At 39.2% G+C, this 15,437-nt stretch overlaps 1 protein-coding gene across 49 annotated transcripts in view; it reads left to right on the top strand.

The window, feature by feature from the left end:
* SYNE1 (spectrin repeat containing nuclear envelope protein 1) overlaps positions 1-15,437 on the top strand; it is a 515,676-nt gene that overhangs the window by 276,046 nt on the left and 224,193 nt on the right. For 48 of the 49 annotated variants that reach the window (XM_047418508.1, XM_017010610.2, XM_017010609.2 and 45 more), the window contains 9 exons: positions 1,859-2,002; positions 2,780-2,944; positions 6,341-6,658; positions 7,573-7,728; positions 7,884-8,054; positions 8,964-9,290; positions 10,547-10,699; positions 10,982-11,149; positions 14,082-14,258. In XM_047418508.1, the coding sequence (XP_047274464.1) occupies positions 1,859-2,002; positions 2,780-2,944; positions 6,341-6,658; positions 7,573-7,728; positions 7,884-8,054; positions 8,964-9,290; positions 10,547-10,699; positions 10,982-11,149; positions 14,082-14,258 (1,779 nt within the window). The remainder of the gene's footprint in view (positions 1-1,858; positions 2,003-2,779; positions 2,945-6,340; positions 6,659-7,572; positions 7,729-7,883; positions 8,055-8,963; positions 9,291-10,546; positions 10,700-10,981; positions 11,150-14,081; positions 14,259-15,437) is intronic. The other variant, NM_033071.5, reaches the window with a different exon arrangement.

The raw sequence follows: 15,437 nt of genomic DNA, 5'->3' as shown, positions 1-15,437 counted from the left end.
TAAGCTCAATCTCCGTCACCTGGTTTGTAAGAATGGAAATAAACTCCTCTGCCATGCTCCTTTCCTTCATGCTCCCAGCCTCCTCCCTTGCGCTCTCCAGCCTTGCTGAATCTCACACTATCTCCTGAACATGCCACAATCTTCACAATTCTGTGTCTTTGCATAATCTCTTCTCTTTTTACAGAAGGTCCTTGCTCTGTCTCTGCCCCTGGCAACCTCCTACTTATCTTTCTGAATGAATTTTGAAGTCATTTTAGCTATGCTACACCACCACCGCTCAGGCTTGATTCATTGTTCTGTTCTCTCATAGCCCTTGGTTCAAAGCTCTTTATCAATTTCATATATATTTGCATGTCCCTCTCCTTCAGTGAATAGAGATGCTTAATTTTCTTTATATCCTCAACACTTGGCTCTCTGTCTGACACAGAACACACGCTGAATAAAAGTTATTTAAATGACTAAATGATCTTATGTGACCTATGCCAAGGTACTTAATGTTTCTGGGTCTCATTTATGCATCCATAAAATAATATAATTATAATTATCTGCTTCATAAATACCTGCATGTATTATCTGTTATAATAATTAATTGCTTAATTAATTGGATTGTTCATCTATTCAATCAACATTTATTGAGAAATTGCTACATGTAGGGACTGTGCCCGATTCTAGCAGTAAAAACAGTCAAGCGTATGTTAGTGGGGATGCATGCACTCAGTAATAAATGTACAAATAAATAATTTTAACTGCTGAATACTATGAAGAAAAAAAAAGTAGTGTGGTGTGAGAGAGAATCATTTTGAAAAGGCTCATACAGCTTGTTTGAGGCCAAGGGAGAGGGACAGGAAAGGCCTCTCTGAAACAGCAGACATATAGTCCATGCACTAAAGAATTTAAGCCAGAGAAATGAGCCTGGGGAGGAGTTGAGGAACCAGCATTCCGGATAGAATAAAAAGCAGGTCCTCGGGCCCTGTGGAGGGAAATATCCTGGTGCAGTGGGGAGCTGTGAGGAAACAGGCAGGTGTTGTTGCAGCAGAGAGTAGGCAGGGAGGGGCTGCAAGGGGAGTTTGATGGAGAGACAGAGCCTGATCCTCCATTGCCATGCCAGCTGCTCTGAGGATTTTCCACTTGATCCCGGCAGCATTGGGACGATAATCCAGGTTTTAAGCTGAGAAGCGACACGATTCAACTTTTAATTGCAAGACATTATATCACTTAGACTGCTGTGTGGAGCATGAAATAAGGGACAGGGAAAGAATTGGTGGCCAGGAATCTGCCTGGGATACCACTGCAAAGTCCAAGTGAAAGAGGAGGGCAGCCTGGGCTGGGGAGTTTGCAGGAGATGTGGGGACAGATGTCGCAGTATAATAGGAGGTAGAGCTAACAGGATTTCCTAATGGTTTAGAGGACGGAGAGCTAGAGAGGACGCTGGAACAATTCCCATGTTCTGGGTTGACCGTCTGGGTGGGAGGTCATGGCATTTGCTGTTTGAAAAGAGATGGAAAGAGAAGGGGGCTTCATGGGGGCTGGGGTAGAATAGGGATAGGGTGAACATCAGGGGTCCATTTCTGGACATAATCAGTTTGAAATGTTAAGAGTAGAAATATAAAGTAGTTAATTGGTAATTCATATGTTAGAGAAAGTTCTGGACCAGACATAAAATACACACACACACACACACACACACCCATGCATTCACACACATATCTGTGTCAAATAGATAAAATGATGGAGGAGTGGACGAATAAATAACCTGAGGTCACTTGTCAACTGTACAATTAAAATATCTTGATTTTAGCAGTGTCGTTGATGTGATGGTGCATGAATGGCCACTTTATTTTTCTTAAATGCTCTCTAGTTATTAAATGAAGAAGTGCTGAGTTACAGCAGCTTGCTGGAGACCATCGAAGTCAAAGGGGCTGGCATGACAGAACACTATGTCACCCAGCTAGAACTCCAGGATCTACAGGAACGATACAGAGCCATCCAAGAGAGGGCCAAGGTACGGCAAAGCACTTTCCTTGTAGACTCACCAAAAGGGGAGTGTTTGGAGCTGTGCTCCTTTAAAGACTCATTTATGTTCAAGAATGACAGGCTTGGGAAAACAGAACAAAAGCAAAATGAATTTTTAATATTTTAAAGGAATTACTGGCAAAATCAAAAACCTTCAAATATTGTTAGTATTATGAAAGCTATGAAAGTAAGATAATTTTCAACTAAAAATTCCTAGAAAGGTACCAACTTAAAAAAAATTCTGGACACCTTCAATTGAAGACTCATAAATGCCTTATTATGTCTGATGATGAGAGTTTTCTAAGGTGGGAAATAATCACTGATAGTATTAATCATTCTTCATTTAGTCCTCACAAAGAAAATAAATATGCTTTTTCAGAGCGCATTCTACTATGGAAAATTTAATCCACAGTACGTCCAAATCTTCATTTAAGGCACAATATAAGAATTTCAATTTTCTTCATTAGCAAAAGTGAATTTTTATGAAATTAGTAAAGTGAATTCATTTCTTAGCCTGTTACATTTTATAAGGTGTTCAGAGATCATGTAGTTAATTCAACAAAATAATTAATGACACTTTTATTCCTGAAATATTAGGTTTTTATATTTTTACATAAATATTGAAGATTCATGATTCTAGGAAATAACTCATATTCTAATGTCTCAATAATTATACTTTTCTAAAATTACAAAAGTGAATTACAGCACACTGATGCTTTATAAAGTAATGTGTTCCTAACTTCATTATTTTAAATGCTAATTATAGGAAGCCGTAACCAAGTCTGAAAAACTTGTCCGCCTGCACCAAGAGTATCAGAGAGACCTAAAGGCATTTGAAGTTTGGTTGGGGCAAGAACAAGAAAAGCTCGACCAGTATTCAGTTCTTGAAGGTGATGCCCACACTCATGAGACAACATTGCGTGATCTTCAGGTAAGGCCTCCTTTATCCTAAAACAAAGGAATCTTCATTCTGAATATGGAATTATTATTTTAGGCAATAGGAAGTTAATAGAAACCTTGAGTCCAGTGGCTAGTTGATACACATTAAGTGCAATCCCCATAAGGTTTGATCAAGAACATTCTGAGACCTCAGCAGTATGCGCTAGTTGACATCATTTTGTAGGCAATTTAGGTAGGACAGGACTAGCACTTGGGGGATTCATGGAGCTGCTAGGGTGGCCCTGACAAATGGCTGGAGATCTAATTGATGGGGTTTTCTGGCTTACCTGCCTGTTTCTCCCTAAGGGATCACATCAGATCTGGGGGACAGCGGCAGAAGTCATTAGAAGGTGACACAAAGTCAAACTAGTGGCAATATCTTGAACCATGTAGTTTTAAGCAAAACCTGCCACATTGCTGATGGTACCGGTTCGGGCTCAGAGTTCTAGAAGAAGGAATTACAGAAGTAAAAAAAAATAAGTGTTAGTGCCCAGGCCAGCGGGCCATAATTCACGGTGAGATGCCAGACATGGTGGAGAAAGTGGTCACAATCTATATACTTATTTACTCATTCAGTATTTACTGGATACTTAATACAGTACAGATACTTTGCTAGCTACTTCAGGCAAAGATGATTAAGATATGATTTCTGTCTTCAAGAAACTTGAAATCTGATGAGGAACACAAACCCATAGAAAGATGATTATAAATAATATGGCGAGGACATTAGTAGACTAATGTAAGGGGTCTTATGGTAGCATCAAAGAAGGGCCCATAAACTTACCTTAAGGAATAGGTAGGAATCAAGGAAGTTCACCAAGAAGGGGCCACCATGTACAAAACAAACAGCAGAAGATGGAGGAAGGCCAATGAGACCACTTTATGTCCCACCAGTGATGTGTTGGAACTTACAAATGTGCCATCAGTCCTGATCAGAGTTGGTTCAGGATTGGGTAAGTTTTACCTACAGCTTGAACAAGGTGGGAAAATCAGGGACCATCATGATTATCAGTCACATATAAAATTTCTGGCTTTTTCTACTAGTTCTTGGAAATTGTATAATGGCAAGAGAATGGGGTTGGGATTGGGAAGTTGGGACTCTAATCCTTGATGGGACCCAACACTAGGTGACTTCAGGCAAGAGACAACTTCTCTGACCCAATTTCATCCACAGAGTTGTAAGGATTAACCGAAATGGAAGAAAATCTTATTTAAATATACGGTCTACTCATGAAGTAAGTAAATACTAAAAGTTAGAAGGGTCACAATTTCCTTAGCTTACTTAAGGGTCTCATCCATCCTGCCTCCAAAGAGTAGGATCCACAGGTTTAGCTGTTGTAATTTATTTGACTAGAATTGACTATTTTCTTTACATAACCCTTCTTAGTTCTACACTACCAACATCACTGGTAAGCAAATGCTGAGCTCCCTGTGCTTTTGTGTAGAACTAAGTCAATAGTTACCCATCACCAGCAGATGTTGCTGTTGCTCTGGTCAAAAGAAAATATTTCACTTAAGCCGGTATTCGTGTGGTGCAAACCTAACCTCCCCCTGATTTCACCATGCATTAATTCTTACATTTTCTATTGTGAGCCACCACAAAGGTTAAAAAAGAAGGAAGATGCTAGTGGCAGGAAGCAGTGGTGGAGAATTGTGATGCTGCAACCACAAAGCAGAATTTCTTCAGGATCCTGATGTTCTGTAGCATGTACATGGTGTAGGGATTGGCCAGTAATGTGGAACATATTCAGAAATTATTTTGTATAACCTGAAGGCCTAGTTTGGGTCATAGAACATATATATAGTTTATATATTTTTAATATAATATCTTTAATATATTAATATATATTAATATATTATATACACACATTTATGTTACTTATAGATTTTATATATTTAACAATATTATATATATATTTATTTAAATATTGAACTATTTTTTCCTTCAGAATACAGACTTGAAATTTGGGATATATGAGAATTTATTTAATAGAATATTAACTTGGATAATAGATAAAGTGGTTACTTATGAACTATGGAAAAGATGTTGAGAAGATTAATAGATTAGTCAACTACTGTCCAGGGCCACAGTGTCTGTATTTTTAAATAAAATATTATTGGAATGCAGCCACACCCATTTATTTATGTATCGTCTGTGGTTTTTTTCATACTACAATGGCAGAGTTAAGTCATTGCAACAGAGACCTATGGCCCACAAGATCCAAATTATTTACTATCAGGCCTTTCATAGAAAAAGTTTGCCAACCTTGAATTAGGAAAATAATTATAAAAAATTATCTTGAAAAAAAGTCTAAGAATTTTAGAATAAAGTTTATGTATTTGTTGCCAATTTGATTAATATTTTACCATGTATATCTATAGTTCTTCTCCTTCCATGTGCATATGTCTTTACATTATACTGTGCTTGAAGTGACATCATATTTGAAGAAAAATTTTCTATTAGTTGAAACCATGTGAGAATGTTATTTTTGTAAGAAAAATATTTTAGCAATCTTAAGTGGTTTTTAAAATATAGTATTGAGAAATACTATGTTTTAACTACATATACTGATATTTTTAACATTGTTGATGGGATTTGACTTGATTTATTTTACTTTGGGTGATCAGATCAAGTGACAGTATAGATTTATGTTTATCACCAGAAATATAAGTGTGCCATGTTGTTTTACCAATATCTTTAAGGATATAAGATTCTTTTTGTCCTATAAAAAATAGCATATGCTCTTCAAAACTTGATTTATACTAAATTTGTAGGGTAAATCTTTGGGGTTTAGGCTTTGGTGGAGGAAATTTATTTGCACCTCAGAGCACCTGGTGGGCAGGTGTGATGAACCAATTTCCCAAGTTTGTGTGCCCTGCACTCTCCAGTTTCAAATTTTCTTGGCCACCACAATGCCTAGAGTACAGCTTTGGCAAAAGATTCCTCCTTAGGAAGCAGAAGGTTCATTGTTTCTTTCTCAGTCACAAATGTAGCACTGAGCTATTCAATGTCAAAGCAAGAAGCTTAAGTCACTTTAAGCAGATTATGAGCTATAATAAGCCTAGGTCATTCTTTTAAACAATAGCCCTTTATTCACAAGTGTTTTTGCCTGTTAGCTAAAAAGTCAAATTTGGGAAACTGTTGATTGAGAAAAATATTGGGGTGTGTGTGTGTGTATGTTGATTATTTTAATTGAAAAAGTTTTAGGAATCCTTCTGACTTCGGAGAAAATATGGTTAGGGACATATTTTTGTATAGGGCATAATAATAAAATCATTTTTTTCTAATGAGAAGTTCAAGTGGGCACAGTTGGCTTGGGCAAGACATGCTAACCCATGCAAGTGTGAAATATGATTGAGAGTGACAGCCATACCTTTTTCTCTGCAGGAGCTACAGGTACACTGTGCAGAGGGGCAGGCCCTGTTGAACTCAGTGCTGCACACCAGAGAGGATGTGATCCCATCAGGTATCCCACAGGCAGAGGACCGGGCTTTAGAGTCTCTCCGGCAAGACTGGCAGGCTTACCAGCACAGGCTGTCCGAGACTCGAACTCAGTTCAATAACGTGGTGAACAAATTGAGGCTAATGGAGCAAAAGTTTCAGCAAGTAGATGAATGGCTCAAAACAGCAGAGGAGAAAGTTAGTCCCAGGACCAGACGTCAGTCTAACAGGGCAACCAAGGAGATACAATTACATCAGATGAAGGTACAACTCATGTAGATTCCTGATCTTTGTCAAAGCTACAGTTACCTTGCATAGTTTGTTTCATTAAGATATTTAGTAACTTTTATCCAAAGCTTAGGCTTTGCAAAATCTTTTTGATTACCTAGAAAGTTAAAATAAATCACAATGGAGCATTCCTCTTACAGCAATTATTTCATAAATTAGTCTTTGATACAAGGTAGTTTAATGTAACCATTTTATATTTTCTTTCCATACCCTATTACCTTGTTTTGTGAAGATACATGAATGCTTGTATTACAATAATTTAAGTTTATGGTTCTGATATGAAATTGCTCCAATATAGTTCATTGAAATAGTACTTGAGAATTAGTTTTATTCTAAGTTTTATGCAATTTTAGTGCACACATCTAAAATAATGCTTGAGCCTTAGGAATTTATTTTCATTATCCACCCATTTTAAAATTGATCTAGGTACAATAGGAGGTCTAAAAAATTATGCCACTTTGTTTTCATGTTTATTTATTTTATTTAATTTTTTTGGAGACAGAGTCTTGCTCTGTCGCCCAAGCTGGAGTGCAGTGGTGCGGTCTCAGCTCACTGTAACCTCTGTAGCCTGGGTTCAAGCGATTCTCCTGCCTCAGCCTCCCAAGCAGCTGGGACTACAGGCGTGAGCCACCGCACCTGGCCTGTTTTCATTTTTAATTTTTGAATTGAAGTGTAATAGATACAGAAAACTATCCAACTCAAGTGTACAGTTTGTATCACATTGTTGTAATATAATATTTATGAAGATAACATATGGCATTTTCAAAATTAAATCTCAAAATAAACATCTTCTAAACCTACACTGAAACCATTTCCTATAAGAAGATATACATTTGGCTTATTCGAATGGCTAAGATTGAATCTTTCCCTTCGATACTTTGTCATTTCAGAAGTGGCACGAAGAAGTGACTGCATACAGAGATGAAGTTGAGGAAGTGGGAGCTAGAGCTCAGGAGATACTGGACGAGAGCCACGTGAACAGCAGAATGGGTTGCCAGGCCACCCAGCTGACTTCCAGATACCAGGCCCTGCTTCTCCAAGTGCTGGTGAGTGGGTCACCAGGTGCTCAGCATAGACCAGCAAACTTCGCCAGCCAAAATAGCCTTCCTTTCACTAACATCCAGTGAAGATACATATTCATCAACAAAGGCCCTGGCACAGGCCTTTACTTCACCATTCAATTTTCTCTTTTCTTTCATAGGAACAAATAAAATTCCTGGAGGAGGAGATTCAGAGTTTGGAGGAATCAGAATCATCCCTCAGTTCCTATTCTGATTGGTATGGCTCTACTCATAAAAACTTCAAGAATGTGGCTACCAAGATTGACAAAGTAGATACAGTAATGATGGGGAAGAAATTGAAGACGTTGGAGGTAGGCACGCATACTTCAGATTTGTATCCAACCTTTCCGTTCACCAAGCTGCCCCATTCTCCTGCATAGATACTGGAAACACAGGTGATCATCCCAACCATTATGATTGGTGATCCTGAGCTCATCATTTTACTTGAAATACTAAGTTGGCTCCTTAAGGCCAAAAGCTAGCTTTCACTTATTGATGATGTGTTGTTATCAGAATGACTTACACATGGACACCCATGAAAGTCTTCACTGAATTCCAGTGTGACACTTCAATATTAAGAGAAAACTTTCTCTCTCAAATTAATGGCCCAGTGCTTGTAAAGAGTTTAAACTCAGGTCTTTAGAAGGAGATTGCTAAGGATGAGAGAAACATCAAGTTCTTTTTCAAGTCTCTGATTTGGAAATGATATATTGATCAAGACTTTTAGAACCTATATTGAAATAAAGAAGCCAAGGTTCCTGATTCCTGGCACGTCAAATCTGGTTATGAATGTCAACAACTTATTTTAAAGGGAAATAGGTGGACTTAAAAACAGGCCTTGAGAAACCTTTCTTTAAAAGGAAAAGAAATGGCCAGGCACAGTGGCTCACACCTGTAATCCCAGCACTTTGGGAGGCTGAGGTGGGTGGATTGCTTGAGGTCAGAAGTTCAAGACCAGCCTGACCCACATGGTGAAACCCTGTCTCTACTAAAAAATACAAAAATTAGCTGGGCATGGTGGCACGCACCTGTAGTCCCAGCTACTTTGGAGGCTGAGGCAGGAGAATCGCTGGAACCCAGGAGGCGGAAGTTGCAGTGAGCCAAGATTGTGCCACTGCACTCTAGCCTGGGTGACAAAGTGAAACTCCATCTCAAAAAAAAAAAAGAAAGAAAAGAAAAGAAACAAGACTACCTTTGCTCCTACTCACTCTCTTTTTCAGGTTTTGCTCAAAGACATGGAGAAAGGTCACAGTTTGCTGAAATCAGCCCGGGAGAAAGGAGAGAGGGCTGTTAAATACTTGGAGGAAGGCGAGGCAGAGAGGTTAAGAAAGGAGATTCATGATCACATGGAGCAGTTGAAGGAACTGACCAGCACTGTCCGGAAAGAACACATGACGCTGGAAAAAGGTCTTCATTTAGCAAAGGAATTCTCAGATAAATGCAAAGCACTGACACAGTGGATAGCAGAATACCAGGAAATTCTACATGTTCCTGAAGAACCCAAAATGGAATTATATGAGAAAAAAGCTCAGTTATCTAAATACAAGGTAGTGTGTTTACTCATTGACAGATGCATGCAGAGGTCACACAGAGACCAAATGGGAGGGAGGTGATTCTTGCTGGGTGTCACCCGTAACAGCTGCTGGAATGCATCCCGCATGTGTCCGTTCTGCAGCTGACCAGTGATGCCATGACCTATGGAGATTTATTGGGTTAAATCCACTACCTCAGAGTTATTTTTGCATTCAGAGATCTGATACTCAAAGATTGTATCAATATATTTATTGATTGTACGTATCTGTCAATCAATGAAGACCTTTTCTGATGCGTGAGCCAGGTATTTGGATCCTCCAGGTAAAATCTTGCTGGCATCAGGATCCCATATCTTTCCCATATTGAGGCTTCCCTTCATCTTCTGGTACCTAAGGCTAGAAACTGACCTATGGTAAATTGAAAATGACATATCATATTTATAAGAAAATAAGTTCTAGTTAACAAACTCGAGCTAAGTTCCTTAGAAACTGATTTTTGAAAGAATAAATAGTGATGTGGCTATAGCTATACATGACATAGACACAGGTACTTCACCCACTCAAATTTTTGAAGCAATTATGCAAGCTTATATGTGGAATAATTTGTGTTATAAATTTGATCTGGATGATTGAGTGATACCTTTTAAGGATTACAGTGTGCTGGCTTACCCCAAAGCTTTCCCTGTTGGAAGCTTCTGTGACGGCCTCTTCCAGCCAATGTCTATTTCTATCCTTGGCTTCTCTGCCAAGCCCGACAACTTGTCTTTGAAGAGGCCATATAAGAATCACAACCTCTTCCTCCTGGCCACTGAGTTCTTGATAGATTTAAATAGTGCCTTTAGCCTATCTCAGCAAGGTCACAACTGGAATTGTTCTTTCTAACTCCATAAATAGCTCAAACTGGAACTAACTTCATGAACTCAAAATCAAAAGATAGTGGCCTTTTTATGTTGAGATTTTTTTTCTCTGATGAAAGGAATAAGGTAGAAGCCAGAAATATAAACTATATTTAATTTAGACAAATATAACTATTTCCCATCCTTTTATCTCCACATAGGAAGGGCCATTTGATGTGTGACTCTGCTGTTGTATTTAGAAACTGTATTCGTCTTAATAAATCACTCTCTCTTTAATGTCTTGCACCTATTGCTTCATAAATATGAACAATCTTTCTTTGAGGTAGATCATCTCTTGCATACCATGGGAATATGTATGTATTCATCTTGTCCACGGAGATGAGCAGGCTCATTTTTTTTTCTTTGTAATTCAAGTCACTTCAACAAACGGTGCTGTCCCATGAACCATCAGTAAAGTCAGTGAGAGAGAAGGGTGAAGCTCTTTTGGAACTGGTGCAGGACGTCACTTTAAAGGACAAAATAGATCAACTTCAAAGTGATTACCAGGACCTGTGCAGCATAGGAAAGGTAAGGAGAGATGAAAGACTCCGTAAAAGGGTTTATTTTCCAAAATGTGGGCCCTGACTCCTTTCTCTCTGTCATGTAATTTTAAGGCCTGGTACGGGTTAGTATTTTTTTTTATTCAGATGGATATTTAATTGGCATAATGACTATGTTGTTTTCCATTCCTGGTAGTTTTCTAAGTAGCTCTAACTACCCTGTGAGTTGCACTGGGTTTTTGTAATACAAAACAGTTTTGAGTAGGTTTTTCACTTGAAAGTCATCTCTGATGGACACCTGGTTTTGCAGGAGCATGTCTTCAGTCTGGAGGCGAAAGTCAAAGACCATGAAGACTACAACAGTGAGCTCCAAGAGGTCGAAAAGTGGCTGCTGCAGATGTCTGGCAGACTGGTGGCACCTGACCTCCTGGAGACAAGCAGCCTGGAGACAATCACCCAGCAATTGGCCCACCACAAGGTACCCCTGACCTTTAAAGGGCTGCCTTTGGGATGGCTTCACCAGTGTGTGTACGCATGTGTCTGTGCATGTGTGTGCATGTGTGGGGGTGCACACACAGGTGCATCTCTGGTTTATAATGATTGTACTGAGAGAATCAGGTCTGTATTAGTCCGTTTTCACATGGCTGAAAAAGACATACCTGAGACTGGGCAATTTACAAAAGAAAGAGGTTTGTTGGACTTACAGTTCCTTGTGGCTGGGGAGGCCTCAAAATCACAGTGAAAGGTTAAGGCACATCTCACATGGCAGCAGACAACAGAAGAGAGCATTTCCAGGGAAACTCCCCTTTTTAAAACCATCAGATCTCATGAGACTTATTTGCTATCATGAGAACAGCACAGGAAAGAGCTGTCCCCATGATTCAGTTATCTCCTACCAGGTCCCTTCTACAACACGTAGGAATTCAAGATGAGATTTGGGTGGGGAGACAGCCAAACCATATGAAGGTCTGAGTCTCAAGCACTTCTGACAATTGACAACAATTGAACTTGATATTCAAGTGAATCAAGAAGAGTTGAATCCTCGCGTTGAACTTCTGAACACATTGCTGCATTTCCCCCAGCTAATAATTTTTATCTCAGAATTTAGTCTTTATGGAATCTATTTTAGAAAATGCAGCCAAAGGCATCAGAAAGTCTGGATTCTAGGCTGGACTCTTCCCCTTCCTGGAGAGACAACTTAGCCTATCTGAGTCTGTCCTTTCTCCTTTAGGATGATAACAATACCAGCCCATCTCATAATTGTTGTGCTAATCACAGGAGATAATATTTGTGAAGACATTTTGTAAATCACAAAGTACAAAACTAATATGAGGAGTTCTTATCTTTGATATAGGTGATAGGCTAAAAGCACTATTTAAATCTATCAAGATAAGAACTTAATAATATGTATTTTTAGTAATCGTGTTTACCACGTGATAGACGTTATGGTCACAATTTCATGGAGCAACTGATTTGTGATCTTAATGGAAAACAAGTTTACTCATCATGTGGTCAGTGTCTGACAGTGCGTCTTAGGAAAGCCAGTTAGCCCCTCTGGGCTGCAACATTTCTGTCTATAAGAAAGGATTTTATTTAACAAATATGAATAAAAAAGTAGCTACACAATACCTTCTGGTAGGCACTGAGGAGATGACAATCCAGAAGGTAGTCTACCCCATGAATGGCCTCATGATGGAGTGGTTCTGTTCCAACTCAGAGACAGAGTGGTTCTTTTCAACTGAGCATATATGATAACTGCTAGCCCAGCGCTGTTTGTAGACCCTGGACTGCTGAAGGGCCACCCAGGTTTCCTATAGATATAATGATGGGTTACCCAGGCTACCCTATGTTGGATTGTGTCACTTGTCATTAGCATCATATAACAGGAAAAAAAAAAAACACTAGAACTTGATTTTATTTATTTATGTATTTATTTATTTTTATTTTATTTTATTTTTTTGAGACAGAGTTTTGCTCTTGTTGCCCAGGCTGGAGTGCAATGGTGCAACCTCAGCTCACTGTAACCTCTGCCTCCTGGGTTCAAGCGATTCTTCTGCCTCAGCCTCCCAAGTAGCTGAGATTATAGGTGCCCTCCACCATGCCCGACTAACTTTTGTATTTTTAGTAGAGACAGGGTTACACCATGTTGGCCAGGCTGGTCTCTAACTCCTGACCTCAGGTGATCCACCAGTCTCAGCCTCCCAAAATGCTGGGATTACAGGCGTGAGCCACCGCGTCTGGCCAGAACGTGATTTTTAAAAAATAAGTTATTCTTCCCTGAGTCATCTATAAGAATGCTCACTAAAGAATGCAAGTGGACATGGTGGTGTGAGGTGAAATCAGGCCGAGCTGTGTCTAAAGCCTGGGGGCTGTGCCATACCTTGACTGTGTTGTACAACCTCACTGTGATTCAGTTTCCTCATCTATAAAACAATGATAATACACATTCGTCAGGCTTATATATAATTCCTGGACTATAGCAGGTACTTAATAAATGATAAGTTTAAATGCTATTTTCATTATTATAAACAGTAGTAGATGTAAGTTAGATATTACAAGAATTAAAAATTAGATATTACATTATTACAGAAACTAGAATTAGATTATTATATTCGTGCAAAAGTAATTGCAGTTTTTGCCATTAAAAGTAATAACAGGCCGGGCGTGGTGGCTCACACTTGTAATCCAAGCACTTTGGGAGGCCGAGGCCAGCAGATCACTTGAGGTCAGGAGTTCAAGACCAGCTGGCCAACATGGTAAAACTCCATCTCTACTAAAAATACAAAAAAAAAAAAAAATTAGCCAGGTGTGGTGGTGGGCACCTGTGATCCCACCTACTCAGGAGGCTGAGGCAGGAGAATTGCTAGAACCTGGGAGGTGGAGGTTGCAGTAAGCTGAAATTGCGCCACTGCACTCCAGCCTGGGCAGCAGAGTGACACTCTGTCTTAAAAAAAAAAAAAAAAGAATGACAAAAAACACAACTACTTTTGCACCAACCTTATAGAAATAAGATATTATATAAAGTTGATGAAATAGTAATTAGATTGTTTTAGATAAAAATTATGCCAGAATTATAACTTATTAACCTGAAAAATATAGGGACATCTTTTTGTCTGGTAATAATACCATGGAGTATTATCTCTCTGAGACCAGCCATGAACACATTCTAGTGTTAAAGGTTACTTCATCATTCCTTATGTAACTAATCTCTTAAACTCATTGACTCTTCCTCTTGGAGTATCCCTGAAAACATACATGTGCTTTTGTTTTCATTTAATATATAACTAAGGTAAATTGCAAGATTCTTTCAAAAACAATATTAAACAGTGAAATAATCTATCTTAAACTTTGATGGATAAGTTACTTAAAAGTAGAATTCTGAAAACTCTGTATTGGTTTCACTTTTGCAGGCAATGATGGAAGAAATTGCTGGTTTTGAAGACCGTTTGAACAATCTTCAAATGAAAGGTGATACTTTGATTGGCCAATGTGCAGACCACCTGCAAGCGAAACTTAAACAAAACGTGCATGCTCATCTGCAGGGCACAAAGGACAGCTACTCAGCGATCTGCAGCACAGCTCAGAGGGTGAGTGCCCCCAGAACATTCCACAGTGACAAGGAATTATGGGGAGAGGCTGTGCAGTCTAGAGACTTTTTACAAATAGAATCGATGCTCAAATCTTTGGATTCGTTTTGGTGTGTTGCCAGACAGGAAATACGAGGATAAATTTCACAGTTGCTATGTGAACACAAAACTAACATATTTTGTATTTGATTGATGTGACTAAGCAGTGAATTTCAGATATTGGTTTTTTTGTTTTGTTTTGTTTTGTTTGAGACGGAGTCTCACTCTGTCGCACAGGCTGGAGTGCAGTGGCGCGATCTCGGCTCACTGCAAGCTCCGCCTCCCAGGTTCACGCCATTCTCCTACTTCAGCCTCCCGAGTAGCTGGGACTACAGGCGCCCGCCACCACGCCTGGCTAATTTTTTGTATTTTTAGTAGAGACGGGGTTTCACCGTGTTAGCCAGGATGGTTTCGATCTCCTGACCTCGTGATCCGCCCACCTCTGCCTCCCAACGTGCTGGGATTACAGGTGTGAGCGAATTTCAGATATTGTTTTATCCAATTTGTTTATTCCATGAGTTGATTGTGAAAAGGTTTGTTAAAAGTTGATTTGGGCCGGGCATGGTGGCTCAAGCCTATAATCCCAGCACTTTGGGAGGCCAAAGCAGGTGAATCACTTGAGGTCAGGAGCTTGAGACCAGCCTGGCCAACATGGTGAAACCCCGTCTTCACTAAAAATACAAAAATTACCTGGGCGTGGTGGCAAGCACCTGTAATCCCCGCTACTCCGGAGGCTGAGGCAGCAGAATCGCTTGAACGTGGGAGGCAGAGATTGCAGTGAGCCGAGATCGCGCCACTGCACTCCAGCCTGGGGGACAAAGTGAGACTCCGTCTAAATAAAAATAAATAAATAAAGTTAATTTGTTTGTTGGTAAAAGGAATTTGAGGAAATTTAAAAAAGAAAAAAATAGTTGATGTGTTTGAATAGAGGATGTGTTTTTCTTTGCACACGATCAATACTTTCTAATTTTCCATTTATTTTGTAGCACAAAAGTAAATTTATTTCATATTTTTCACAATAATTATTTTCTTTTTAACTGTATGCAGCCTGGGTTCTAATCTAAATCAATATTTGTTTGCATTCATATAGAATTTGAGAAACGAGTAACTGACAAATATGACTTACACTTAAGTGGGTGT

The sequence above is a fragment of the Homo sapiens genome, chromosome 6, assembly GCF_000001405.40.
Source record: "Homo sapiens chromosome 6, GRCh38.p14 Primary Assembly".
NCBI classification, from domain to species: domain Eukaryota; kingdom Metazoa; phylum Chordata; class Mammalia; order Primates; family Hominidae; genus Homo; species Homo sapiens.
This window is presented reverse-complemented; position numbering and strand designations above follow the sequence as displayed.